The 27,796-nt window shown below is 41.4% G+C and overlaps 1 protein-coding gene across 5 annotated transcripts, besides 4 other annotated features; it reads left to right on the top strand.

Moving 5' to 3' along the window:
• Window positions 1-1,411: 1,411 nt before the first annotated feature.
• On the top strand, window positions 1,412-27,763 carry MOB1A (MOB kinase activator 1A). Of its 5 annotated transcripts, none has more exons than NM_001317110.2 (6): window positions 1,412-1,630; window positions 7,542-7,705; window positions 13,184-13,277; window positions 14,940-15,073; window positions 21,037-21,200; window positions 23,646-27,763. In NM_001317110.2, exons 1-6 carry the CDS (start codon window positions 1,617-1,619, stop codon window positions 23,721-23,723), a joined length of 648 nt encoding a protein of 215 aa, NP_001304039.1. In that variant the 5' UTR covers window positions 1,412-1,616; the 3' UTR covers window positions 23,724-27,763. The 5 variants fall into 5 exon arrangements, with proteins under 5 accessions (NP_001304039.1, NP_060691.2, NP_001304041.1 ...); NM_018221.5 differs by having other exon boundaries at window positions 7,539-7,705; NM_001317111.2 differs by lacking the exon at window positions 1,412-1,630 and adding an exon at window positions 1,977-2,176 and having other exon boundaries at window positions 7,539-7,705.
• Window positions 1,651-1,840: a silencer, noted in NCBI's record as "silent region_11653". NCBI's record gives its function as "represses an Ori minimal core promoter by ATAC-STARR-seq in GM12878 lymphoblastoid cells {active_cell/tissue: GM12878}" and the evidence as "EXISTENCE:reporter gene assay evidence [ECO:0000049][PMID:35858748]".
• Window positions 1,651-2,387: a biological region, named in NCBI's record as "H3K27ac hESC enhancer GRCh37_chr2:74405031-74405714".
• Window positions 1,704-2,387: an enhancer, noted in NCBI's record as "H3K27ac hESC enhancer chr2:74405031-74405714 (GRCh37/hg19 assembly coordinates)". NCBI's record gives its function as "activates a minimal SCP1, AML or CMV promoter by ChIP-STARR-seq in primed H9 embryonic stem cells {active_cell/tissue: H9 hESC(primed)}" and the evidence as "EXISTENCE:reporter gene assay evidence [ECO:0000049][PMID:30033119]".
• Window positions 3,560-3,752: a silencer, noted in NCBI's record as "fragment chr2:74403666-74403858 (GRCh37/hg19 assembly coordinates)". NCBI's record gives its function as "represses an EF-1alpha promoter that drives an FKBP-Casp9 reporter gene in an ReSE screen in K562 erythroleukemia cells {active_cell/tissue: K562}" and the evidence as "EXISTENCE:reporter gene assay evidence [ECO:0000049][PMID:32094911]".

The raw sequence follows: 27,796 nt of genomic DNA, 5'->3' as shown, positions 1-27,796 counted from the left end.
TTGTGTTTTTGTAGAGGCGGGGTTTCACCATGTTGCCCAGGCTGGTCTCGAACTCCTGAGCTCAAGTGATCCGCCAGCCTCAGACTCCCAAAGTGCTGGGATTACAGGCGTAAGCCACAACTGTGCCTGGCCAGTAATGAAGCTTTGATACATGCTACAATATGGGTGCGTTTTAAAACATTATGCTAAGTGAAAGAAGTCAGTCACAAAAGACCACATAATGTATGCTTCCATTCACAGTGTATATGAAATGTCCAGATTAGGTAAATCCATGGAAATAGAAAGTAGAGTAGTGGTTGCCAGGGGTTGGGAGGAGGGAGGTGGGTAATAAAGAGTAACTGCTAATAGGTATGGGGTTTCTTTTCGGGGTGATGAAAATGGCCTAAAATTATGGTTAGGCTGGGCGCGGTGGCTCACGCCTGTAATCCCAGCTTTGGGAGGCCGAGGCGGGTGGACCACTTGAGGTCAGGAGTTCAAGACCGAGACCAGCCTGGCCAACATGGCGAAACCCCGTCTTTACTAAAAAAAAAAAAAAAAAAAAATACAAAAATTAGACGGGTGTGGTGGCGCACGACTGTGATCCCAGCTACTCGGGAGGCTGAGGCATGAGAATCACTTGAATCTGGAAGGCAGAGGTTGCAACGGGCCGAGATTGCACCACTGCATTCCAGCCTGGGTTACAAAGTGAGACTCTGTCAAAAAAAAAAAAAAAATTAGTGCTGATGGTTGGCACACTTTGAAAACATAAACAAAGCCGGAGGCAGTGGCTCACACCTGTGATCCCAGCATTTTGGGAGGTCAAACCAGGAGGATCCCTTGAGCTCAGGAGTCCAAGACCAGCTTGGGCAACACAGTGAGACGCTCGTCTCTGCAAAAACTTTGAGAAAATTAGCCGGGCGTGGTGGCAGGCACCTGTGGTCTCAGCTACTCGGGAGGCTGAGGCGAGAGGATCACTTAAGCCCAGGAAGTCCAGGCTGCAGTGAACTGTGAACTCCAGTCTGGGCGACAGAGCGAGACACCTCAGAAAAAAAAAAAAAAAAGAAAGAAAAAACCGAAAAAGACCACTAGAGGGTACATGTTTAAAGGACAGATTTTATGCTATGTGAATATATTTCAAGTAAAAATTAAATTAACAATTTTAAAAATTGCAGGAGTACGCAGCGCTTATAGAGGTCCCTGCATAACCTAGGGAGCGGGATCGAAACCCAGCAGCACCAAGATACTCTAAGAGCAGGACCAGCCACTGCCCCTTCCGCAGGACCGCCATCCTCGCCACGCCTCCGGGGGAGGGAGGTCCTGGCTTGGAGAGCGATGATTGGCCGAGTTCTAGGACGAGGCGGAGCGAAAGGGGGCGCGACAAGTCCCTCCCGGCGCAGCGAAACCTTAGCTCGCGAGATTTTGTTGGTTCCGCATTTCGGGTCTGCGAGGTGGGGTAGGCGGGCAAGGCGGGCGCCGAGGTTTGCAAAGGCTCGCAGCGGCCAGAAACCCGGCTCCGAGCGGCGGCGGCCCGGCTTCCGCTGCCCGTGAGCTAAGGACGGTCCGCTCCCTCTAGCCAGCTCCGAATCCTGATCCAGGCGGGGGCCAGGGGCCCCTCGCCTCCCCTCTGAGGACCGAAGATGAGCTTCCTCTTGTGAGTGGGGTCGGGCCGCGGGCGCCGGGCCTGCGGGCCGAGGTTGTGGGGGAGGCCTCCCCGGACCTGAGGCGAGGGCTCGGCCTGGGGGCCGAGGCGGGGGCGGGGTAGCTGGCGTTTGTTTTGCCTCTGTTCGGGTCCGCGGGGGAGGCCGAGATGTTGGGAGAGGCCGACAGAGATGAAGGTCGAAGTAAAGGAAACGGAGCGTGAAGGCTGGGGAGTAGAAAGGCCCCGGGGCCGTCGCGCCTCCAAACTTTTCCGCCCGAGCGCCCCCGAGGGCGGGGAGACGATCTGGGGGCGGAGCCGCGAGCCCCCAGTTTCTCTTGTCTCGAGCTTCTAGAAACCGTCCTTGCCGACTTAACTCGTTGCTCGGTTATAGGTCCAGTTTCATTATTGTCGGTGTTAAATGCCGCCCCAGGAGAATGTGCGTTGCCGCAGTTTGAGAAGCTTGAAGTTAAGATGCTGGCCTTGGAGTCGGATCGTTCTGTCCAGTTCTGATTCTGCCCACTTACTGGCTTTGATTTTAACCAACTTCTCTTGTCCTCGGTAGAATCCTGTGTTTTTAATCATTATGTAATATACCATACAGCATTATTATATAGTACATTGCAGTATTATAAATAATTTGGAAAGTTAAAACAAATTCATAGTCCCATTGCAGAAACACAGTATTGCCATTTTAGTGCACTACAGCAATTAACTTGATAGGCATACCTTAGAATCTCATTTTAGAGATAATGCCTGAGCCCAACCAAACAAGGCTAAAATGAAAAAGCTTGTAAATTCCCTGATGATTCTTATGCACATTAAGGTTTGAGAAGCATTGCTCTGGCACAGTATTTTTTATTCTCAGGTGTCTCTCTCTACCTTGTATATTGCTTAAATGTGTGTTTTGTGATTGAATAATTATCCAATTTTAGTTATGGATGTAATCCACATGCTTGACATTTTTATTAAATACAATATAAAAACACTATATAGTTTTTTTTTTATTTTTTATAACCAGAGTTTACCCACTTTATTGTGAGAAACTGGGATTCCTTCCAGTATTTACTATTATAAAATAGCACTACTCAGAATATGTTTATCTGCGTCTCATTTTCCTTCCTTTGGGTTATTCTCGTAAATGAATGGTCTCTAAAATACGATTACCTTGTCAAAAAGCCTGTATGATTTAGATTTAACTTCCATATTAATAGAAGTATTCCTCCCTCCTCCACTTTTTTCTTACGAGTTGATATTTAATTAGTGAATGCACAGTTGCTTTGTGGACCTTAATACGAGACTTTTTCTTTTTTTTTATTTTTTGAGACGGAGTTTCGCTCTGTCCTCCAGGCTAGAGTGCAATGGCACGGTCTCGGCTCACTGCAACCTCTGCCTCCGGGGATGGCACGGTCTCGGCTCACTGCAACCTCTGCCTCCCGGGTTCAAGCGACTCTCCTGCCTCACACTCCCGAGTAGCTGGGATTACAGGCGCCGGCCACCACACCTGGCTCATTTTTGTATTTTTAGTGGAGACTGGGTTTCATCATGTTGGCCAGGCTGGTCTCGAACTCCTGACCTCAGATGATCCACTCCCGCACTCGGCCGAGACTTTCTTTTTTTAAAACTTGGCCTTCTTGATGGACACTTGAGTTGTTCCCGCTTTTTGGCCATTATGAATAATGCTGCTGTGAACATATGTGACAGGTTTTTGCGTGGATGTATGTGTTCATATCTCTTGGGTATATACTTAGGAGCAGAATTGCTGGCTTAAGTGGTAACTATGTTTAACCTTTTGAGGAACTGCCAAACTTCAAAGTGCTGCACCATTTTACATTCCCATAAGTACTCTATGAGGGGTCCAATTTCCCCACACCTCTCATAGCACTTGTTAATTTTCTTTTTTTTTTTTTTTGAGACAGAGTCTTGCTCTGTCGCCCAGGCTGGAGTGCAGTGGCTCAATCTCGGCTCACTGTAAGCTCCGCCTCCCGGGTTCACGCCATTCTCCTGCCTCAGTCTCCCAAGTAGCTGGGACTACAGGCGCCTGCCACCATGCCTGGCTAATATTTTGTGTTTTTAGTAGAGACGGGGTTTCACCGTGTTAGCCAAGATGGTCTCAATATCCTGACCTAGTGATCCGCCCACCTCGGCCTCCCAAAGTGCAGGGATTACACGCGTGAGCCACTGCGCCCGGCCTTGCCTGTTTTTAAATTGGGCTGTCTTTTTGAGTTGTAGGACTTCTTTATACATTCTAGATACAAGTCTTTATCACATCTATGATTTGCAAATATTTTCTTCCTTGTTCAATATAGTTTTTTTTATCATGTTAAAAACTTTTCAGATATGATTTTTAGTGTTTTCATCATTCTTTTTTACCTCCTTTTTTTTTTTTTTTTTTTTTTTGAGACAGGGTCTCACTCTGTTGCCTAGGCTGGAGTGCAGTGGTGCGATCTCAGCTCACTGCAACCTCTGCATCCCGGGTTCAAGCAATTCTCCTGCCTCAGCCTCCCAAGTAGCTGGGATTACAGGCACTTGCCACCACGCCCGGCTAGTTTGTGTGTGTGTGTGTGTGTGTGTGTGTGTGTGTGTGTGTGTAGTAGAGGCGGGGTTTCACTATGTTGGTCAGGGTGGTCTCAAACTCCTGACCTCAAGTGATCCACCCGCCTTGCCCTCCCAGAGTGCTGGGATTACAGGTGTGAGCCACTGCACCCGGCTCTTTTTTACTTCTTAATCAGTCTTATTTAAATTCCAAATTACTCAGGTAAAGTAAAAGTCCATAGTTCTATTCCATTCCTCTTCCTAGAAGTAATCACCAGTTTTGATGAGTTTAGTTTTTGATATTTTCTATGTATTTACAAAATGGGCTCCTGCTGTACGTTTGGTTGTGTATTATGTTTAACCATGTATTAGATCTTTCCCTGTGAATACGTGTACTCTGTCTGGTTTTCTTAACTTCTATACAATATTCCATGATATGGATGTACCATACTTTAATTCAATCCTCTACTGATAAACTTGAGGATTGCTTCTAGGTTTCTCCCTATTAAAAACAATCTTGGAAAAAAATTCTTATCCATATCTAGAGGAGATATTTAGAAGTAGAATGGATGGCTTGAGGAGCTTTTCAGTATTAATAGATACTACCATATTGCCCTCCCAAAATGTTACACTTTATACTTTCACCAGTAGTGTATTAAAATACTAGTTTCTCTGTACCCTAGTCCAGTGGTCCCTAACCTTTTTGGCACCAGGGACCAGTTTTGTGGAAGACAATTTTTCCACAGATCTGGTTGGGGAGATGGTTTCTGGATGATTCAAATGCATTACATTGATTGTGCACTTTATTTCTATTATGACATTGGAATATATAATGAAATAATTCTACCACTCATCATAATGTATAATCAGTGGGAGCTCTGAGCAACTAGACAATCCCATCTGGGGGTAATGGGAGAGAGTGACAGATCATCAGGCTTTAGATTCTCATAAGGCACATGCAATTTAGATCCCTTGCATGCACAGTTCACAGTAGTGTTCACGCTCCTGTGAGAACCTAATGCCTCTGCTGATATGACAAGAGGTGGAGCTCAGGTGGTAATGCCAGCAATGGGGAGCAGCTGTAAATACAGATGAAGCTTTGCTGCTTGCTCACTGCTCATCTCCTTCTGTGGGCTCCAGTCTGTGTCCTTGGGGTTGGGGGCCCCTACCCTAGTCCACATTTAATGTAATCATTTAAACTTTTGACATTCAGATTAGGGAAAAAATAAATCTTACTTTAATTGAACAGTTTTTCTCATGCTCATTGATTGTCATACTTCTGAATTGCCTATTCATCTCCTTAGCCTATTTTTCTAAAGGATTCCTTATATTCTTAACGAGTTACAGAAGCCCTCTATTATCCAGTTCATCCTTTGTAATATATGTTACAAGTACTTTTATTTGGTTACTTGTCTTTTTGCTCTGTTATGAAAGTTTTAATTGATACTATTTGAAATCTGTCCACTTTTTCTTTGAGGTTTCTGAGTTTTGTGCAGGAAGACTTTATGGATGGTGTGAGATAGGAATAAAAACATTTTTTCCTCAATAACGAGTTGTGCCTGTCTCATTTATTTTCCCTATTATAAACTTAAAGATGTTAGTGTTTCTTTTACTGTGGTTTGCTTTCAAGGCGTCTCAAATATTTTGATATAGAATACTGGATTTTTGAACTAAACCTCCCTGCGCCATTTTCTTTTTATCTTCCCCACCCCCCATTCCGCCTTACTATGTTGTCCTGGCTGGTCTCAAACTCCTGGGCTCAAGAAATCCTCCTGCCTTGGTCTCTCAAATGGCTGGGATTAGAGGTGTGAGCGACTGCACTTGGCTCCACCATTTTCTTTTTTCTTTTCTTTTCTTTTTTTTTTTTTTTTGAGACGGAGTCTCACTCTGTTGCCAAGCTGGAGTGCAGTGGTGCAAGCTTGGCTCACTGCAACCTCCGCCTCCTGGGTTCAAGCCATTCTCCTGCCTCAGCTTCCCGAGTAGCTGGGACTACAGGCGTGTGCCACCACGCCCAGCTAATTTTTGTACTTGTTTTTTAGTGGAGACGGGGTTTCACCATGTTGGGCAGGATAGTCTCAATCTCTTGACCTCGTGATCCACTGCCTCGGCCTCCCAAAGTGCTGGGATTACAGGTGTGAGCCACCGCACCTAGCCATGGCCCCATCATTTTCTTTTTTTTTTTTTTTTTTTTTGAGACGGAGTTTCGCTCTGTCGCCCAGGCTGGAGTGCAGTGGTGCGATCTCGACTCACTGCAAGCTCCGCCTCCCGGGTTCACCCCATTCTCCTGCCTCAGCCTCCCGTGTAGCTGGGACTACAGGCGCCCTCCACCACGCCCGGCTAATTTTTGTATTTTTAGTAGAGACGGGGTTTCACCGTGTTAGCCAGGATGGTCTCGATCTCCTGACCTCGTGATCCACCCGTCTCGGCCTCCCAAAGTGCTGGGATTACAGGCGTGAGCCACCGCGCCCGGCATGGCCCCATCATTTTCTATAGCACTTTGGGAGGCTGAGGCGGGTGTATCACTTGAGGTCAGGAGTTCGACACCAGCCTGGCAAACATGGCAAAATCCCATCTCTACTAAAAAAAAAAAAAATTAGCTGGGTGTGGTGGTGCATGCCTATAATCCCAGCTACTCGAGAGGCTGAGGCAGGAGAATCGCTTGAACCCAGGAGGTGGAGATTGCAGTGAGCCGAGATTGTGCCACTACATTCCAGCCTGGGTGACAGAGTAAGACTACATCTCAAAAAAAAAAAAAAAAAAAAAACCGAAATTGAGGCCAAAAGAAGGTTCAGTTTCTCAAGAAGACACAGTTAGTGTCAGATCAAGAACTAAAATCCAGGATGTTTCTCTGTACCAGACTTCTTCAGAGGGCATAGTAAAATTGCCTTATTTGTGGAATTGTGCTGCTAATCTTGCTTTTACAGGCAGGGGAAAAAAAGCATTCTTGTATTGTGATCATCATCTTCCTATCTTGGCATTTTTCAGAGAGTGTTTTTGTTTTTTTTGAGACTGAGTCTTGCTCTGTCACCTGGGCTGGAGTGCAGTGATGCGATTTCAGCTTACTGCAACCTCTGCCTCCCAGGTTCAAGCCATTCTTCTGCCTCAGCCTCCCAAGTAGCTGGGACTACAGGTGTGCGCCATCATGCTTGGCTAATTTTTGTATTTTTAGTAGACGTGTGGTTTCACCATGTTGGTCAGGCTGGTCTTGAACTCCTGACCTCAGGTGATCCCAAAGTGCTGGGATTACAGGCATGAGCCACCATGCCTGGCCCAGAGAGTATTTTTTATTTTATTTTTACAGGCTACTTTATATACCTAAAATTATGTTGTTCTACCTGTTCTACTTCCAGTCTTAAAAATTCATATACTTGCACTTTTAATCTTACAGCAGCAGCCGCTCTTCTAAAACATTCAAACCAAAGAAGAATATCCCTGAAGGATCTCATCAGTATGAACTCTTAAAACATGCAGAAGCAACTCTAGGAAGTGGGAATCTGAGACAAGCTGTTATGTTGCCTGAGGGAGAGGATCTCAATGAATGGATTGCTGTGAACAGTAAGTTTTAAAATGTAACTTTGCTGTTTTCTAGAAAGGTTTTGCTAAAATCTCTTTGTTAATGAATTTTCTTTTACAGTTAGAACTGTTTTAATATAACAAATTATCTGTAAAGAAACATTAAGTACAAATACATCCAAAGCTATGTTGCTCTTTTCAGAGTACTAGGTGGTAGTTTGTGAGGTTGAGTAGAGGGAGCTGAGGAGAAATGATGAGTGCTTTTGGGCAATTTCTAAGAAGAATAGTATGAAAAGCTGAGTAAGGTCAGATAAAAGATTGATAAATGAAAAGATTATGCCTGTTGTGGTCTGTGACTTTGTAGCAAATCCATCTACAGTTTTACTTCCACTCCCAGCAGTACTCATCAGCCTGCATATCCAGAAAAGTCAATTGCAGTTCATATGGACAGTTGATTGTTGTGACTTAGAGTGGCAGAGGGAATTGAGAGATTGGGAGAAAATGGAGGGATCTGAGCTGAAAGTCACTTTAAGTTCAAGAGAACAAGTGCATGACATGGGACAATATGCTAAGGCTAGAGATTTGAATGTGAGAGTCTCTCATTTCTGAGATGATATCATTTCTGGGTAATAAAGTTTAAATTAGAGATTTCAGATGTTCCAGGAATAAAAAGTTTAAATAAAAAGTTTAAAACTTTTTATTTATTTATTTATTTATTTATTTTTGAGATGGAGTCTTGCTCTGTTGCCCAGACTGGAGTGCAATGGCTCAATCTTGCTTCACTGCAACCTCCACCTCCCGGGTTCAAGCCATTCTCCTGTCTCAGTCTCCTGAGTAGCTGGGATTACAGGCACACGCCACCACACCCAGCTAATTTTTTACATTTTAGTAGAGACAAGGTTTCACCATGTTGCCCAGGCTGGTCTTGAACTCCTCAGCTCAGGCAATCTGCCTGCTTTGGCCTCCCAAAGTGCTAGGATTACAGGCATGAGCCACCACGCCCAGCCTAAAACTTCTTAATGGAAAATTTCAAACATATAAAAGTAGACTAAGTACAGTGAATTCCAGGTATTCATTCCATTACCCAGCTCCAACAAATATCAGTTTGTGACCAATTTTTCTTCTTCTATATGTCACCCTGATTATTTTAAGCAAATCCCAGACATGATGTTTTATCTATAAATATTTCAGTAAGGTATGTCTAAAAGACAAGAACTTGTAAAGATAATGACAATGCCATCCTCCTTTAACTTATCAAATATCTGGTCAGTGTTCACATTTTTCATGACTGTCCCATAAATGTTTCTTTTATTTTTTATTTTTTTTTTATTTTATTTTTTGAGATGGAGTCTTGCTCTGTCACCCAAGCTGGAGTGCAGTGGCGAAATCTTGGCTCACTGCAACCTCCACCTCCACCTCCCGGGTTTAAGCAATTCTCCTGCCTCAGCCTCCCCAGTAGCTGAGGGATTACAGGTGTCCGCCACCACGCCCGGCTAATTTTTGTATTTTTAGTAGAGAGGAGGTTTTGCCATGTTGGCCAGGCTGGTCTCGAACTCCTGACCTCAAGTGATCTGCCCGCCTCAGCCTCCCAAAGTGCAGGGATTACAGGCGTGAGCCACCGCACCTGGCCAAATGTTTTCTTTTTAAAATTTTTTTGCTTTAAAAATCTATGCTTTGTTTAAATCAGGATCCAAAGAGGCCTGTGTGTATGCTTCTTGAATCTCTTTTTTTTTCTTCAGAGATGGGGTCTTGCTTTGTTGCCCAGGCTGGAGTGCAGTGACATGATCATAGCTCACTGCAGCCTCAACTTCTGGACTCAAGTGATCCTCCCACCTCACCCGTCCGAGTAGCTGGGACTACAGGCTCACACCACCATGCCCTGCTAATTTTTTTTTTTTTTTTTGAGATGGAATCTTGCTCTGTCGCACAGGCTGGCGCGATCTCAGCTCATTGCAACCTCCTCCTCCTGTGTTCAGGTGATTCTTCTGCCTCAGCCTCCTGAGTAGCTGGGACTACAGGTGCCCGCCACCACACCTGGCTAATTTTTCTATTTTTAGTAGAGACGAGGTTTTGCCATGTTAGCCAGGCTGGTCTCGAACTCCTGACTTCAGGTAATCCACCCACCATGGCCTCCCAAAGTGCTGGAAAAAACCCAGCCAAAAAAAAACCTTTTTTAAAAAACTTTATTCAGGGCCGGGCATGGTGGCTCACGCCTGTAATCCCAGCACTTTGGGAGGCCGAGGCAGGCGGATCACGAGGTCAGGAGATTGAGACCATCCTGGCCAACATGGTAAAACCCCATCTCTACTAAAAATACAAAAATTTAGCTAGGTGTGGTGGCACGCACCTGTAGTCCCAGCTACTTGGAGGCTGAGGCAGGAGAATCACTTCCCGGGAGGTGGAGGTTGCAGTGAGCTGAGGTTGTGCCACTGCACTATAGCCTGGGCGACAGAGCAAGACTCCATCTTAAAAAAACACACACACACAAAAACAAACAAACAAACAAAACTTTATTCAGATTATCATCTGTTATTCTGAAGTCATTTATTGACCTTCAGCCTTAGATTTTTCTTTGAGACTTAACTGCTGTAGATCAGCAGTTCTCAAATTTTTTGGTCTCAGATCCACTTACCCTCTTAAAAAATTATTGATTCCCATAAATATGTACCATTCTGTGTTAATTAAAAAAGTAAAATACAAGCTGGGCATGGTGGCTCATGTCTGTAATCCCAGCACTTTGGGAGGCTGAGGTTGGCAGATCACTTGAGGTCAGGAGTTCGAGACCAGCCTAGGCAACATGGTGAAACACCAGCTCTACTAAAAATACAAAAATTTGCTGGGTGTGGTGGCACACACCTGTAATCCCAGCTACTGAGGAGGCTGAGGCAGGAGAATTGCTTGAACCTGGGAGACGGGGGTTGCAGTGAGCCAAGATCGCACCACTGCACTCCAGCCTGGGCAACAGAGTGAGACCCAGTCGGGGGAAAAACAAGGTAAAATACAAAAAATACAAAAAAAATTATTGAGAACCCCAAAGAGCTTTTAATTATATTGGGTATATCTCGTGATACTCTGTTGGAAATTAAAACTGAGAAGATGTAAATAGTTATTTTTATTTTTTATTTTCTCTCGAGACAGTATCGCCCTGTCGCCCAGGCTGGAGTGCAGTGTCACGATCTTGGCTCACTGCAGCTGCCTCCTGGCTTCAAGCAGTTCTCCCACCTCAGTCTCCAGAGTAGCTGGGATTACAGGCATGTGCTACCATGCCCGGCTAATTTTTGTATTTTCAGTAGAGACGGGGTTTTGGCATGTTGGCCAGGTTGTTCTAGAACTCCTGGCCTCAAGTGATCCGCCTGCCTCATCCTCCCAAAGTGCTGGGATTACAGGCGTGAGCCACTGCACCCGGCCCAAATTCATTTTAAAATAACAATAATAAACCCATTACATGTTACCATAAATATGTTTTTACGAAAAATGACTATTTTCCATAACAAATTTTAGTGAGAAGTATGGCATTGTTTTATATTTTTGCAAATCTTATTTAATGTCTGGCTTAATAGACACCTGGATTCTTATATCCGTTTCTGTATTCAGTCTGTTGTGATATTACACATCATGGAGCCTCTGGAAAACACCATTGTGCCCTCTTGAGAGAGTAAGAGTGAAAAGAACAATTAAAATGGTTTGACCTTACAGATCCTCCCTCAGATAGGGGATTCCTGGACCACGTTTTGAGAATAGCTCTTCTAGACCAAACCAACTTCCACCTGGGCATATTTTTTGTTTTGAGTGAATATTGAATACCTAAGTGTTACTTTCTTAGAAACATGACTAAGAGGAAGATTTATAAGTGAGGGAGTTTTGTATAAAATTCCTTTTACAAGATAGCATTTTAAAAAAATCTATTTGTTTTTTAAGAAACTTGGAAAATACCTAGTTGTTTTTAGGTACTTCTTTAGACAGGAGACTAAAACTTTTTATTTATTTATTTTTTCGAGACAGGGTTGTCCAGGCTGGACTGCAGTGGTACCCTCACAGCTCTCTGCAACCTTGAACTCCTAGTCTCAAGGGATCCTTCCACTTCAGCGTCCTGAGTAGCTGGGACTACAGGCGTGTGCCACCATGGCTAACTAATTTTTTAAAATTTTCAATAGAGACCGGGGTCTAGCTGTGTTGCCCAGACTGGTCTCAAATCCTGGCCTCTTAAAGTGCTGTGATTATAGGCGTGAGCCACTGCACCTAGCCTAAAACATTTTTTGAAACTTTCCAAGGCTTATGTGGTTCTCTTTGCATAGAGTATACTCACTCAGTAAAGTTTATTTACTCACCCCCTGCCTCTTCCATTTTATTCTGGATCTAGCTGAAGCTCCCTCAGGAAGTACCCCCTGACTACTTCCAACTCTTCATGACTTTGCCTTTTCTCTGTAGCATTTATCGTTGGCCTTTGGATCCTGTCTTCTTATATCTTGTACTATTATTGCTATTTTTATTTTGAGACAGTGTCTCTGTCACCCAGGCTGGAGTGCAGTAGCACCATCACAGCTCACGGCAACCTCAGCCTCCTGGGCTCAAGCAGTCCTCTCGCCTCAGCCTCCTACATAGCTGGGACTGTAGGTGTGCACCACCACGCCTGGCTAATTTTTTAAAAATTTTTGTAGAGATGGAATCTCACTCTGTTGCCTAGGCTGGTCTTGAATTCCTGGGCTCAACCAGTCCTTCTACCTCAGCTTCCCAAAGTGCTGGGATTACAGGCATGAGCCACCATGCCTGGCCATATCTTATATTATTCATCTCTTTTAATTTTGTCCTTTCTGTTAGCTAGAGACTCCAGGGCAGGGGACTTTATCTGAAGTATTTTGTCCTCAGTATGCTGTAGACCTCAAAAACAAATGTTTATGATTAATTAGATCTTTTAAATGCCTCTGGATACAGCTGGTGCACCTTCTCCCTCACAGTATATTCCACAACATGTTTTGTCTCTTTCCTAACACAAATGGTATTATCTGGTCCAAAGTGGTAAACTATGGATTTTTCATTCCCTTGGATGTAATCATATTGTATATCCAAAGGATATAATAGTCATCGTTAAGTTAGAATTATCTCCAGTATCTTATTTTCCTGCTGTTACATGCGAGTGGATCATGAGGTCAGGAGTTCAAGACCAGCCTGGCCAACATGGTGAAACCCTGTCTCTACTAAAAATACCAAAACAAAATTAGCTGGGCGTGGTGGCATGCACCTGTAATCCGAACTACTTGGGAGGCTGAGGCAGGAGAATTGCTTGAACCCGGGAAGCGGAGGTTGCAGTGAGCCAAGATTGCACCAGCCTGGGCAACAGAACAAGACTGTTTCAGAGAAAAAAAAAAGTGTAGTATACTACAAGTTACAGTATCATTGGATTATTGAATGTCTCAAGGGTTCAGCTAAGAACCTAAATGTATTGTCTGTTTTTCCTTCAACTGGAGGTCTCATATTTTGTGTTTACACAGACATTTTGACACAATTCTATTATCTCTGCAGCTGTGGATTTCTTTAACCAGATCAACATGTTATATGGAACTATTACAGAATTCTGCACTGAAGCAAGCTGTCCAGTCATGTCTGCAGGTCCGAGGTACATATACTGCCTATTATATAGGTGTTTGGATTAGTTTTACTTTATCACCAATTGATAGAAATTAAACAGTTAAGATTTGTTATCCGTTTGTGTGAAGGTGATTCAGTTTTATTGGTTCTTGACTACTCACCTGTAAGCTTTTAGTTATTGTGTAATTTTAAAATTTTATTTATTTTGAGACAGAGTCTCGCTCTGTTGCCAGGCTGGATTGCAGTGTGTGATCCTGGCTCACTAACAACCTCTGCCTTCCGGGTTCAAGCGGTTCTCATGCCTCAGCCTCCCGAGTGGCTGGGATTACAGGCCTGTGCCACCACTCCCAGCTAATTTGTGCATTTTTAGTAGAAATGGGGTTTTGCCATGTTCCCCAGGGCTGGTCTCAAACTCCTGGCCTCAAGTGATCTGCCCACCTCGGCCTCGCAAAGTGCTGGGATTAAAGGTGTGAGCCACTGCACCTGGCCAGCTATTAGTTATTATTAAATACTTTAGTATGTGGGTACTCCCTGTTTTCATTTTTATGTTGCATCATAGTAAGTCTGAATGTTTTATTATAGGAATAAACAGAAATTTGAGTTACATTTGTCTTGAATTGCAAACATTTTATTTTTTCAATTTTATTAATAACATTTATGTTTCCTGTTTCTAGTTTTTAAATGAATTTCTTGGAAGAGTTTTTAGTTGATCTTTTAATATTTGATTATTTTTTCTTGTGCTTATTTAGTATTTAAAGCAGCACAATTTAGAAGTAATTATCTGGCTTGAAGATGCTAGATTTAAAAACATTTTGACTTTAATAAATTTCAAGAAATACTGAAAAAGATGGAACTCTATCACTCATAATATTAAGTCCATCATATGATGGGATTAATGTTTGCTGTGTTTCCTTCCAGTTTCTTTTTTTTTTCTTATAATAAATGACTGATTTTATGTGATGATAGATGTTATCAAGATGTTTGCTTCTTAGAAAAGATTGTCCTTTCTGACTTTGCTACAAGTGTAAAGGAAAAAAGATCCCTAATGAGTTTGTAGTTCTATTTTTATTATAATATTTTAGGAAGAATGTTTTTATTTTATATTGTGTTAAGTTTTATTATTCAAGCTTTAAAAGAAATGAAAATAAACAGGAAAATTAAACTTACCTATGGCTCAAATGCTTTACACAGTGATGTTTTGTATAACTCTTGTTAATCCTTCTAGCTCGGCAAAGGTAAGGGGGGAAAGTATGCATGCCTAATGTATATCTCTAACACCTGGCCCCCAAAACAGAGTTTTATAATCTTGGGTCCATTGATGATAATAAATTGATGACCAAGAATCTCAGAAGAATGTAGTGGATCCATCGGCTCCATGCCCAGCCCTCAGCAACCTTCTGCTTTACAGGAATGCAGTTCCTTTGTGTTTCCCAGGGCTGTGTTGTTAATAAAACATCTATCCTGGCATTGCCTCCTGCCACATTATCTCCCTTTTTTCTTCCAGTTATAACTGTCACTTTCTGGATAATTACATAGGGAACTCACAGTAATCTTCAGTAGAACTTAAGGTGATTTATTAAAGTTAGATGTAACTTCTATTGACAAAATGTGAATGAACCTGTTTTAATCACAACTTGCACATTTGTTAATATTTTTGAAAAATTTATCAGTAAAACATTTTTCTCTTCAGATATGAATATCACTGGGCAGATGGTACTAATATTAAAAAGCCAATCAAATGTTCTGCACCAAAATACATTGACTATTTGATGACTTGGGTTCAAGATCAGCTTGATGATGAAACTCTTTTTCCTTCTAAGATTGGTGAGTTAACATTGTCGAAGTATTCTTTCTTTTTTTAAAATTTTATTTTATTAATATAAATAGAGTTGGGGGGGTTTGCTGTGTTGTCCAGGTTGGTCTCAAACTCCTGGCCTCAAGTGATCCTCCTGCCTTGGCCTCCCACAGTGCTGGGATTACAGGTTTGAGCCACCGTATCCAGCCTGTTTCTCTTTTTGAATGATAAATCTGCTCTTTTTAACATTGTTATACTTGTAGAGACTGCCAAATTCTCCTCCAAAAAGTTTGTACCAACATGTACTCCCCCCAGCCCTGTTTGTGTTTGCCAGTGTTTCTTCACCAACACTGGTTATTACTCATTTTTTAATATTTTCTAATTTGGTTAAATTTCTGTTTTAATATGCATTTAAAAAATGTTGATGAGATTGAGCATTTTAGCCTTTTTGTTTGTTTTATTGATCATTGTGTGTTTTCTGTTTATATCTTTCATCTATTTCTGTGTAAAGGATATTAGCGCTTTGTCGTATGTGTTGTATATCTTTTTCCCCGGGTTACCTTTTGTCTCATTTTGTTCATGGAGTATTTTTGCTGTACACAACCTTACTATTTTGTCCTATTATATCTTTTATGACTTGATTTTAATATAACAATTAGAAAGCTTTTCCCTGCTTCAAGATTATAAAAATATTTATTCATGTTTTCTTTTTTTATTTTTTTATTTTTTGAGACAGAGTCTCACTCTGTTGCCCAGGCTGGAGTGCAGCGGCACAATCTTGGCTCACTGCAATCTCCACCTCCCAGGTTCAAGCAGTTCTCATGCCTCAGTCCCTGGGTAGCTGGGACTACAGGCACATGCCACCATGCCCAGCTAATTTTTGTATTTTTAGTAGAGATGGGGTTTCACCATGTTGGCCAGGCTGGTCTTGAACGCCTGACCTCAAGTGATCTACCTGCCTTGGCATCCCAAAGTGTTGGGATTACAGGCATGAGCCACCACGCCTGGCTGGGAAGTTTTTTTTCCCTGAATGCTACATTAATTTTTTTCCAAATGGAAATACTAGTCAGTTTGTCCCATTACCATTTATTAAACACATTTGCCTTTTCTCCCCTGATTATCTTATGTGCACAACAAATTGCCATATATTTTTGCATGTTTTAGTCTCTTTATCTGTTCCTATAGAAATTCCACACGTTGGTGACTGTGGCTCTGCATCTGTTAGCATCTTGTAAGGCTGGTCTCCCTTCCTCGCTCTTCTTTTTCAGAATATTCACAGCTATTCTGGGATATTTGTTTTTCCAAAGAACTTAGAAACATTTTGTCAAGGTGAAAAAAAAATTAGATTTTAATTATGACTATATTTAATTTTTATAGATAGGGATTCTTTTTACTGAATCTTCCTAGCCAAGAACAAGATATTGTTCATTTATTCATGTCTTTAGCTTTATTTTCTCTTGTAAAATTCTGTAGTTTATGTCAGTTGTTCAAGTTTCTTAATTTTATTCTAGGGATTTTATGTCTTTTATTGATAATCTGGTTTCCAGCTGGTTATTTAGTATATAGGAAAGCTGTTGGTTTTTATTGTAATTTATTTTTAATTTTTTTTGAGACAGGGTCTCACTCTGTTCCCCAGCCTGGAGTGCAGGGGTGTGATCACAGCTCTCTGCAGCCTTGATCTCCTGGGCTCCAGTGATCCTCCCACCTTAGCTTCCCAAGTAACTGGGACTGTAGGCACGCACCACTACACCTGGCTAATTTTGTTTATTTTTTGTAGAGATGAGGTCTCATTATGTTGCCCAGGCTGGTCTCGAACTCCAGGGCTCAAGCATCCCTCCTTCCTTGGCCTTCCAAAAGTGTTGGAATTACAGGTGTCAGCCACCAGGACTGGCCAGCTGTTGATTTTTATTTAAATTTTATAATTAACCATCAGACTCTTTTTCTGTTAGTTTTTGGTTGGTTCTCTTGAATTTTTAAAGTATACAACTGTGTCATATTAAGATAGTGTTCATTTTGTCTCTTCCTTTCTGATAATGTATTCTTGTTTTTACGCTTGCTTATCTGATTGCACTGAGTGGTATTTCAAGCGCAATGCCGAGTAATGGTGATGATGGCAGACATCCGTTTCTTGCCTTCTTACTATTATGCAAGTACTTCTAGTATTTCTGCAGTAAGCCGAAATCTTGGCTTTTGGTTAGAGGTGTATGGATTTTTAAAAAATTATATTAATGAAAAATATCCACCATTTATATTACAAAAATTGTTCTTAACGAGGAATGGCTATAGAGTTTATCAGATGCTTTTCCAGTATCTGTTGCCTATGACCATAAGGTTTTCTCCATTTTTTAATAAAAATATTCTGCTGGAAGAGTATTTGTTAATATTTTGATTAAGAGTTTGGCATCAGTATTCATGGATGAAATCACTCCTTGTCATTTTCAACTTAAGAGTATTTTATGAGCAACATATTTTTGAATTCCTTTTTGCAGTCTTATAGAGGCTTTTCAGGACAACAGTTTTTTTCCAAGTTGTTAACATTTGGTCTGTTTGTTGTTGGTCAGTTTTTCCATTCTGCTATTAAACCTTTTATTTCCTTTCTCATATATCTTTATTTTATATTGACTGTGCTTGAATATATCTGTTAAATTCAGCTTGGAAAGTGTTTAGATTTAAACAAATTACTTATTTCTTTACTCATTAAAGTCTCTGCTTATGGAAGGTAAATAATTCTTTTGATTTATCCTCTTTTCTCTCTTTTTTGTTTGGAGACAGGGTCTCACTCTGTCACCCAGGCTGGAGGGCAGTGGCACAGTCTCGGCTCTACTGCAACCTCCACTTCCTGGGTTGAAGCGATTCTCGTGCCTCAGCCTCCAAGTAGCTGGGACTACAGGCGCCCACCACCACACCTGGCTAGTTTTTGTAGTTTTAGGTAGAGACAGGGTTTCACCATGTTGGCCAGGCTGGTCTCGAACTCCTGACCTCAAGTGATTCACCCACTTTGGCCTCCCAAAGTGCTGGAATTACAGGCATGAGCCACCATGCCTGGCTTTTTTCTCACTTTCTTGTTCTTAAATAATTCATTCTGATCCACCACCTCTTAATCCCACTCCCCTGCCATTAGGCTATTATCTGCATCTTACTTTTGCCAGTTATTTAGTCTCAGACAGAACTGTTTATCATTAATTTTTTACTAATATATGCACATTATTAATATCCTTTTATTAGAAAGATGCCCATTTATACATTCTGATAAAAAAAGATGTTTGATTTTGAAATCTACTTTTTTTTTTGAGACAGACTCTCACTCTGTTGCCCAGGCTAGAGTGCAGTGGTGCAGTTACAGCTCACTGTGGACTTGACCTCCCAGGCGCAAGTGGTCCTTCTACATCAGCCACTTGAGTAGCTGAGACCACAGGCACGTGTGCCACCACGCCCAGCTAATTTTCAATTTTTTGTAGACACGAGGTCTCACTGTGTTGCCCAGACTGGTCTCAAACTTCTAGGCCCAAGCAACCTTTCTGCTTCAGTCTCCCAAAGAGCTTGAGATTACAGGCATGAGCCACTGCACCTGGCCAGAATACTGCTTTTTTTTTTTTTTGAGGCGGAGTCTCACTCTGTTGCCCAGGCTGGAGTGCAGTGGCATGATCTCAGCACACTGCAAGCTCCGCCTCCCGGGTTCACGCCATTCTGCCATTCTCCTGTCTCAGCCTCCCGAGTAGCTGGGACTACAGGTGCCGCCACCACGCCTGGCTAATTTTTGTATTTTTAGTAGAGACAGGGTTTCACTGTGTTAGCCAGGATGGTCTCGATCTCCTGACCTCATGATCCGCCCGCCTCGGCCTCCCAAAGTGCTGGGATTACAGGCATGAGCCACTGCACCCGGCCAGAAATCTGCTTTTTCAATACATGAATACAAGATCCTGCCCAGGAAAACATGCCTGTAAGCTCCAGGATAATGTCTGAAAAGTCACGTTAATGAGGACTGGGGTGGTGGTGGAGAATAACCACAAACATCAGCAAAATAAGTTTCAGGTTATTGAGAACTGGCTGGGAAAAAAATGCAAGGAAAGAGTGTTTTAAGCCTTTGTTTTCTGAAAAATTGAAAAAAAGAATGTGTTTCAAGAGTAGCGTTGTGGAACAGGCCTTTAAGGCCAACTAATGTAGGTTTATTTTTATTTTTATTTTTTGAGATGGAGTCTCACTCTGCCGCCCAGACTGGAGTGCAGTGGCGGCAATCTTGGCTCACTGCAACCTCCGCCTCCTGGGTTCAAGCGATTCTTCTGCCTCAGCCATTTGAGTAGCTAGGATTACAGGCCTTAGTCACCACGTCTGGCTAATTTTTGTATTTTTAGTAGAGACAGGGTTTCACCATGTTGGTCAGGCTGGTCTCGAACTCCTGACCTGTCTGTCCCTGTTTTCTAATGGACTTTGATATTGTCAGCCAAAATTCTCAGGAATGTAACCAGTTGGATCCCCATCTCCACTGCTTGGAAGGATACCAAACTCTACCCCCGTTGTTTTCTAAAAAGAGATTTCTTTTTTTTTTTGAGACGGAGTCTCGCTCTGTCACCCAGGCTGGAGTGCAGTGGCGCGATCTCGGCTCACTGCAACCTCCACCTCCCGGGTTCAAGCAATTCTCTGCCTCAGCCTCCCGAGTAGCTGGGATTACAGTTGCCTGCCACCACCCCTGGCTAATTTTTGTATTTTTAGTAGAGATGGGGTTTCACCATGTTGGCCAAGCTGGTCTCTTTGGCCAGGCTGGTCTTGACCTCCTGACCTCGTGATCTGCCCCCCTCGGCCTCCCAAAGTGCTGGGATTACAGGCGTGAGCCACTGTGCCCGGCTGCCTTTTTATTTTGCTTAGGAGAGTTTCCAGTCCTCATTGAGAGAGTGCGTATGTATGTAATTTCTTCTTTTTTTTCCTAAGGGATGAGGTTTTACCTTGTTGCTCAGGCTTATCTTGAACTCAGGCTTATGAGCTCAGGCAATCTGTCCACTACGGCCTCTCAACGTGCTGGATTACAGGCACGAGCCACCACACGGAGCCAGTGTAATTTCTTTAGAGTTACAAATTACAAAGTAAAAATATTTATGATCAAAATACTTACTCTTGTTGCATTTAATTTCAGAAAGAAACTCTCTAATATTAAAGAACTAAATCCCAGTACTTTGGGAAGCCAAGGCAGGCAGATCACTTGAGGCCAGGAATTCGAGACCAGGCTGGCCAACATGGCAAAAACCCATCTGTACTAAAAATACAAAAATCAGCCAGGTGTAGTAGTGCACGCCTGTAGTCCCAGCTACTTTGGAGGCTGAGGTGGGCAGATTGCTTAAGCCTGGGAGGTGGAGGTAACAATGAACCATGATCATGCTACTGAACTCCAGCCTGGGTGACAGAGTGAGGCTCAGTCTCCGGGGTGGGGGGGGGGACAAAAAACAAAAAACTAAAACTACAGGATTTTTGAACTTTGATTTAGCAGCATCTTACATAATTTGATACCTGTGCCTAAGGCAGTCAGAAAAAAGTGTGGTACTTTGTGAGGATTGGGGTTTGGGTTTTCATTTCCTTGGCTTTAAAAAATATATACAGAGGTAGGTTTGTGTGTATTTATGAATGTGTGTGTTTATATGTTGCAGGTGCTCATGGCAGTGTGTAAACTTTCTGCTGTTAGGCTGGGCATGCCTGTAATCCTAGCACTTTAAGAGGTTGAGGCGGGCAGATTGCTTGAGCTCAGGAGTTCAAGACCAGCCTGGGCAACATGGCAAAACCCCATCTCTACAAAAAATACAAAAAATTAGCTGGGCATGGTGGCGTGTAGTGCAGGTTATTTGGGGGGCCAAGGTGGGAGGATCAGTTGAGCCCAGGAGGTCGAGGCTGCAGTGAGCTGAGATTGCACCACTGCCTGAGTGACAAAGTGAGACCCTGTCACAAATAAACAACTTTCTACTGTTAGATAACCAAATAATTGTTTCATATGTGTATTTAATTGCAGGTGTCCCATTTCCCAAAAACTTTATGTCTGTGGCAAAGACTATTCTAAAGCGTCTGTTCAGGGTTTATGCCCATATTTATCACCAGCACTTTGATTCTGTGATGCAGCTGCAAGAGGAGGCCCACCTCAACACCTCCTTTAAGCACTTTATTTTCTTTGTTCAGGTAAGTTGATCCATGTTGATTTCTGTGTCCTGTGACTTGGACTTATTTGGATTGGGAACTTCAACAAAGAGCTGTGTGTCTTAGTTATAGATGTAGAGCCAATTACAGGCAAGCTTCTCTTTTCTGTTTTGTTCTCTTTTCCACATTATTTATTTTATTGATGTGTGCAGCAGTATAAAAAGGTATCACCCCCATTTGGGCCTTCTGCCTCTGGCCACCCTAGGTCTGTGGTTAGGATTATCCATTCAGGGTTGTGGCCTGTTGCTTTGTGGACCCTTAGTCAGAATTGGAACTTTTTTTTTTTTTTTTTTTGAGACAGGGTCTCACTCTGTGGCCCAGGCTAGAGTGCAATGGCGTGATCTTGGCTCACTGCAACCTCCGCCTCCTGGGTTCAAGTGATTCTCCTGCCTCGGCCTCCCGAATAGCTGTGATTACAGGTGCCCACCACCACCCCCAACTAATTTTTGTATTTTTAGTAGAGACGGGGTTTCCCATGTTGGCCAGGCTGGTCTCGAACTCCTGATCCACCCACCTCGGCCTCCCAAAGTGCTGGAATTACAGGCCTGAGCCACAGCACCCGGCCAGAATTGGAACTTTAAAAAATCAAAATAATTCACATTGTTTGAAAAAGATATCAAAGAATTGGTATGCCTTTAGCCTAACTTTAGAGATACTTATATTTTGCATATTGAATTACATATACATGTCTGTCTAGATATTTTATGATGAAAAAACCTGGTAGCTTTATAGTAGATACTGTGTATTATAGTTTTGTGTACTGTACCATGCTCTTCCTGATCTTCCTTCTCAGATTGTTGCATAAAAGGTCTACTGGCCCTTTATCAAAAATTCAGTTTGTAGTTTTCAGGTAGTTTCTTTTTTTTTTTTCCCCCCTCTTTTTTTTTTTTTTGGAGACAGAGTCTTGCTCTGTCGCCCAGACTGGAGTGCAGTGGCACGATCTCGGCTAACTGCAACCTTTGCCTCCTGGGTTCAAGCAGTTCTCCTGCCTCAGCCTCCTCAGTAGCTGGGATTATAGGCACCTGCCACCACGCCCGGCTAATTTTTATGTTTACTAGAAATGGGGTTTCACCATGTTGGCTAGGCTGATCTCGAACTCCTGACCTCAAATGATCCACCCACCTTGTCCTCCCAAAATGCTGGGATTACAGGCATGAGCCACCATGCCCGGCCTTTTTCGGGTAATTTTAATGTAAATTTAAATATATATACAGTTTTGATTTTAATGTTTAACACAATGAGGATCATACTGATACCTAGAGTTGGTTCTTTAATAAGTCTCCCATTGTAAAAATATGGGAAAAAACAAACTCCCTTTATCCTACTATACTCTCACCACACAGAACGCTTCTGTGACCAAACATGGGGACTGTCCCTCACACACCAAGCAAGTGATCATTTCTACAGTGGACACCAGATGAATGTCCTATAATTTGATTCAATTTTGATAATGTCTATCTGGAGGTAGCATCAGATCCTACAAGTTTGAGAGCTCAGTCCCACAAGACTGCCCCCCATTTGGGATATCAATCAAAAGTAATACATTGTCACCTATACCTCTGACTATAAACCAGGGTTCCCACAACCCCCTCCTTGGGTTTGATTAGTTTGCTAGAGCCGCTTATAGAACTCAGGGAAATACTTATCTCTACCTGTTTATTATGAAAGATGTTAACAAAAGATACAGATGAACAGCCAGATGGAAGAGATGTGTAGGGCCAAAGGAGAAGGGGCTTCCATGCTCTCTCCAGGCATGCCATGCTCCAGGAACCTCCACGTGTTCAGCTATCTGGAAGCTCTCCTGAGCCCTGTTTTTTGTGTTTTTATGGAGGCTTCATTACTTGCCCATGATTGATTAAATAATTGGCCATTGATGATCAACTCAACCTTCAGCCAGCCCTTTCCCCTCCCCAGAGGCTGTGATCTGGGAAGGGGAGAGGGCTGGCTGAAGGTTGACCAGTTCCCATCCTGAAGCTTTATAGGAGCCTCCAGCCACCAGTCATCTCATTAGCATACAAGATACTCTTAGCACTCTGGTGATTCCAACAAGGGTTTTAGGAGCTGTGTGTAAAGAAAAAGGAAGACCAAATACTTATATCACAATATCATACCTATATTTTTAAAAAGAGAGGGCTGGACGTGGTGGCTTACCCCTGTAATCCTAGCACTTTGGGATTTGGGATGCCAAGGTGGGCAGATCACTTGAGGCCAAAGTTCAGTACCAGCCTTGGCAACATAGACCACATCTGTACAAAAAAGAAAAAAAAAAGAAAAAGAATAAATGCCTACTTTAAAATGTTCACAGAGGTTATTTCATCATTCTTTTGGACTTCAGAAAACTAGAGTTGGGAATCCCTTCTCCAAAAGACATTTACAGAGTTTCAGTTTTAGATCCATTTTTAATTGTTATTTTTCTTCTCTTTTTAGGAGTTTAATCTGATTGATAGGCGTGAGCTGGCACCTCTTCAAGAATTAATAGAGAAACTTGGATCAAAAGACAGATAAATGTTTCTTCTAGAACACAGTTACCCCCTTGCTTCATCTATTGCTAGAACTATCTCATTGCTATCTGTTATAGACTAGTGATACAAACTTTAAGAAAACAGGATAAAAAGATACCCATTGCCTGTGTCTACTGATAAAATTATCCCAAAGGTAGGTTGGTGTGATAGTTTCCGAGTAAGACCTTAAGGACACAGCCAAATCTTAAGTACTGTGTGACCACTCTTGTTGTTATCACATAGTCATACTTGGTTGTAATATGTGATGGTTAACCTGTAGCTTATAAATTTACTTATTATTCTTTTACTCATTTACTCAGTCATTTCTTTACAAGAAAATGATTGAATCTGTTTTAGGTGACAGCACAATGGACATTAAGAATTTCCATCAATAATTTATGAATAAGTTTCCAGAACAAATTTCCTAATAACACAATCAGATTGGTTTTATTCTTTTATTTTACGAATAAAAAATGTATTTTTCAGTATCCTTGAGATTTAGAACATCTGTGTCACTTCAGATAACATTTTAGTTTCAAGTTTGTATGGTAGTGTTTTTATAGATAAGATACGTCTATTTTTTCAAAATTCATGATTGCAGTTTAAATCATCATATGACGTGTGGGTGGGAGCAACCAAAGTTATTTTTACAGGGACTTTATTTTTTGATCTTTATTTGAGATTGTTTTCATATCTATCTAAATTATTAGGAGTGTGTGTATCAGAAGTAATTTTTTAATGTCTTCTAAGGATGGTCTTCCAGGCTTTTAAACTGAAAAGCTTAATTCAGATAGTAGCTTTTGGCTGAGAAAAGGAATCCAAAATATTAATAAATTTAGATCTCAAAACCACTATTTTTATTATTTCATTATTTTTCAGAGGCCTTAAAATTCTGGATAAGAGAATGGAGGAAAATACTCAGAGTACTTGATTATTTTATTTCCTTTTATTAAAAAATTACTTCTATGTTTTTATTGTCTCTTGAGCCTTAGTTAAGAGTAGTGTAGAAATGCATGAACTTCATCCTAATAAGGATAAAACTTAAGGAAAACCACAATAAACCATGAAGGTGTACACATCTTATAACACAGATAAAGTTTTGGTGTGCTACCTATTCTTGAGAGAGTGAGTGAGTGTATGTGTTTAAAGGAAACAAAATGGGAGAAATAAGTTTTAAAAAAATCCTCATTTTGTTAATATTCAAAAGATGGACTGAGCTTCCACTTGGGTTTTATCTTGTTTTAATTGTTTTTGTATCAAAACTTGAAATTCCTCTATTTCTATTGGGATATAAAAGCCTTCCCCTTCAGTGAAGAAAACATTTATTTTTTATTTGATTCCTAGGATTTAGTAAACTCTAGCTGTCTATTTAAAATGTACTGAGGCACAACAAGTATTATACTGGAAGACTTGCCAAACTGGCAAAGCTTTAAGTTCATCAGCATTCTATGTGGTTCAGAGCTGTGATTTTTGCAAAGTATTTTACCAACCTCCTCGATGGCTTTGATAAAGGTTAGATTTGATGTTTTTTTTTAGATTTATTTTTCTTACTCCACTAAACTATAAAGAAAATAATTACTTAGAAACTCCATTTTAAATAATCATTTCCTAGAAATTCTTAAATATATACAGAATTTTAAAGAAAACATTTCATCTGATTTAGTTAGCATCCACATATCATTGAGGAATTAAAGTGTGGGACAGTCATTATTAAAAAAAAGAGAGAAAAGCCCTCTATTAGACATTCCACAATCCATGTTTTAAGCTTATCCAAAGGTCCAAATGTCAGCCATTCTGTATGTTCATGTTGATCATTTGCGAACAAGAAAGCAGGTTTCTAGGTATCACTTAGGATGTGAACTGCCTCTCAACTTTAAACCCTGTTAGCTTTACTTTTTTAAGTCCACAAGTGATGAAACTAGTTTCTCAGCTAGGCTTGTACTTTCCTCATTATTTCTAGTATTTCAAATATTCTCAAACAAAAGAGTTACCACTTTTCTCCATTTATTTTCAGTTATGGAAATGTTCCCTCTCTTCACCACTAAGCTCCAAAGCAAATGAAAGACGATCACATGTCAGGACAGTAGTAAAGGCAGCTTATAAATGGGACATAAATCAGAGATGTGTTGGTATTTTGAGACTCAAGACTGTCCTTTTTTAAAATAAAAATAAAAACATTACCAGGTTCCCAAGCCAATCTGGCTTAACCAACAGTGCACTGAAATATTAGTGTTTACCTCCAAGGCTAGGGAGCCAAGGGGAGGAGGAGAATTGGAGGAAGGGGAGATAATGGGAAGAGGATGGCGCCTTCCTGAGTTGGCTAGAGGGCCAACCTTTGATAACAGTTTGACGAAATCAATCTTTTTTTTTTTTTTTTTTGAGACAGAGTCTCACTCTGTCACCCAGGCTGGAGTACAGTGGTGGGATCTCGGCTCACTGCAAGCTCTGCCTCCCAGGTTCATGCCATTCTCCTGCCCCAGCCTCTCCTGAGTAGCTGGAACTACAGGTGCCCGCCACCACGCCCAGCTAATTTTTTCTATTTTTAGTCATGCCTGGCTAATTTTTTGTATTTTTAGTAGAGATGGGGTTTCACCGTGTTAGCCAGGATGGTCTCCATCTCCTTACCTCGCAATCCGCCCGCCTCAGCCTCCCAAAGTGTTGGGATTACAGGCATGAGCCACCGTGCCCGGCCTATAGAAATCAATCTTTTTGACTCTTCTCACTTTTATCTCCCCATGCCCAAGGTTTGCCTGTTCCATAACACTCACTCCCTTCCCCCTTGCTAATCAGAAGCCATCTCCTCTCAGTGTCTGATCTCTGCTCTTCATACATGATTACAGTCATGGGGTAGAGAGTGCTTGCTAAATTATGCAGTTAATCCTATGGTGCTTTAATTTTCAGGCCTTCAAAAAACACTTGTACAGTGATGTGCAGATTTTTAAACAGTTGAACTTCCTTGTACTACAGTTTTTGTATTGACAGCCAAATTTGTCTTTCATTCTTCAGATTGTGAATAAAGTGATTTTTACAGGGCTTCCAGCAAAGTTTTTCCTTTCATCTAAGGCTTGTAGAACCCTAGCTTATATAGCTGCTTACATGAGAAATGCAAAATCTGTATTCACCATGACTTTAGTAACAAAGGTAAAGTTTTTTAGTAGTGCCAAGGCAAGAGGAACAATCTTGGTGGTAGTACTAAGTTTTGTCAATATTGTGGTTTCCTGATTGTATTGTTGGCTTTCTCTCTGAGCATTGAGGTATACTAGAAGTAGAGCTTCTCAAACATAATATCATTACCTCATAAGCATTAACAAATCAGGCCCAAAGAGCGTAAGTCCTAGAAATTTGTTTTAAAGCAGCCCTAGTCATGGTGCTGGTGCTACCGCCTTGTTTTAGGAGCCTGCCTCCTGTCAGTATGAAACCCTCACCTGAAAAATGCCAGCCTGGACACCAAACACTGAGCCCCTTCAACAGGCACATTATTTCCCCCTGAGATCCATAAGGGAATTTAGTTTCTACTATTGTAGAGTTCTGAAAAGAGGTAAAATAGTAGTCCTTTGGTCATCCTATTTTTGCTTTCAATTTTGATATTTCAGACTGTAAAAGGCCTTGGGGGATGATAGTACATGTGGTAGCAGTAATTTTTTTGAAGCAACTGCACTGACATTCATTTGAGTTTTCTCTCATTATCAGATTCTGTTCCAAACAAGTATTCTGTAGATCCAAATGGATTACCAGTGTGCTACAGACTTCTTATTATAGAACAGCATTCTATTCTACATCAAAAATAGTTTGTGTAAGTTAGTTTTGGTTACCATCTAAAATATTTTTAAATGTTCTTTACATAAAAATTTATGTTGTGTTTTAAAATCCTTAGGGGCTTTATCTATTTTTCTAAGTCAGTTAACTGTACTTCTAAAAAAAGTATTTTGTATCTACTTTTGTAACTTCGTCAGAATAAAATATATTGAAAGCAAGAAATGACTGATTAAAGTATGTATATCAACACACATTTCTATTTAAATATAGAAACTTGAGAGTTTTGCAGATTCTGTGGATTTTTGAGTACAGCTTAAATTT

Source organism: Homo sapiens, chromosome 2 (assembly GCF_000001405.40).
Source record: "Homo sapiens chromosome 2, GRCh38.p14 Primary Assembly".
NCBI classification, from domain to species: domain Eukaryota; kingdom Metazoa; phylum Chordata; class Mammalia; order Primates; family Hominidae; genus Homo; species Homo sapiens.
This window is presented reverse-complemented; position numbering and strand designations above follow the sequence as displayed.

Bases quoted from the DNA above. Each gene is read 5' to 3' on its own strand.
- MOB1A (NM_001317111.2), top strand. From the start codon at position 2,037: ATGCCGCCCCAGGAGAATGTGCGTTGCCGCAGTTTGAGAAGCTTGAAG. The intron at 7,706-13,183 runs GTAAGTTTTAAA...TTATCTCTGCAG, and splicing joins TGAATGGATTGCTGTGAACA to CTGTGGATTTCTTTAACCAG. The intron at 21,201-23,645 runs GTAAGTTGATCC...TTCTCTTTTTAG, and splicing joins ACTTTATTTTCTTTGTTCAG to GAGTTTAATCTGATTGATAG.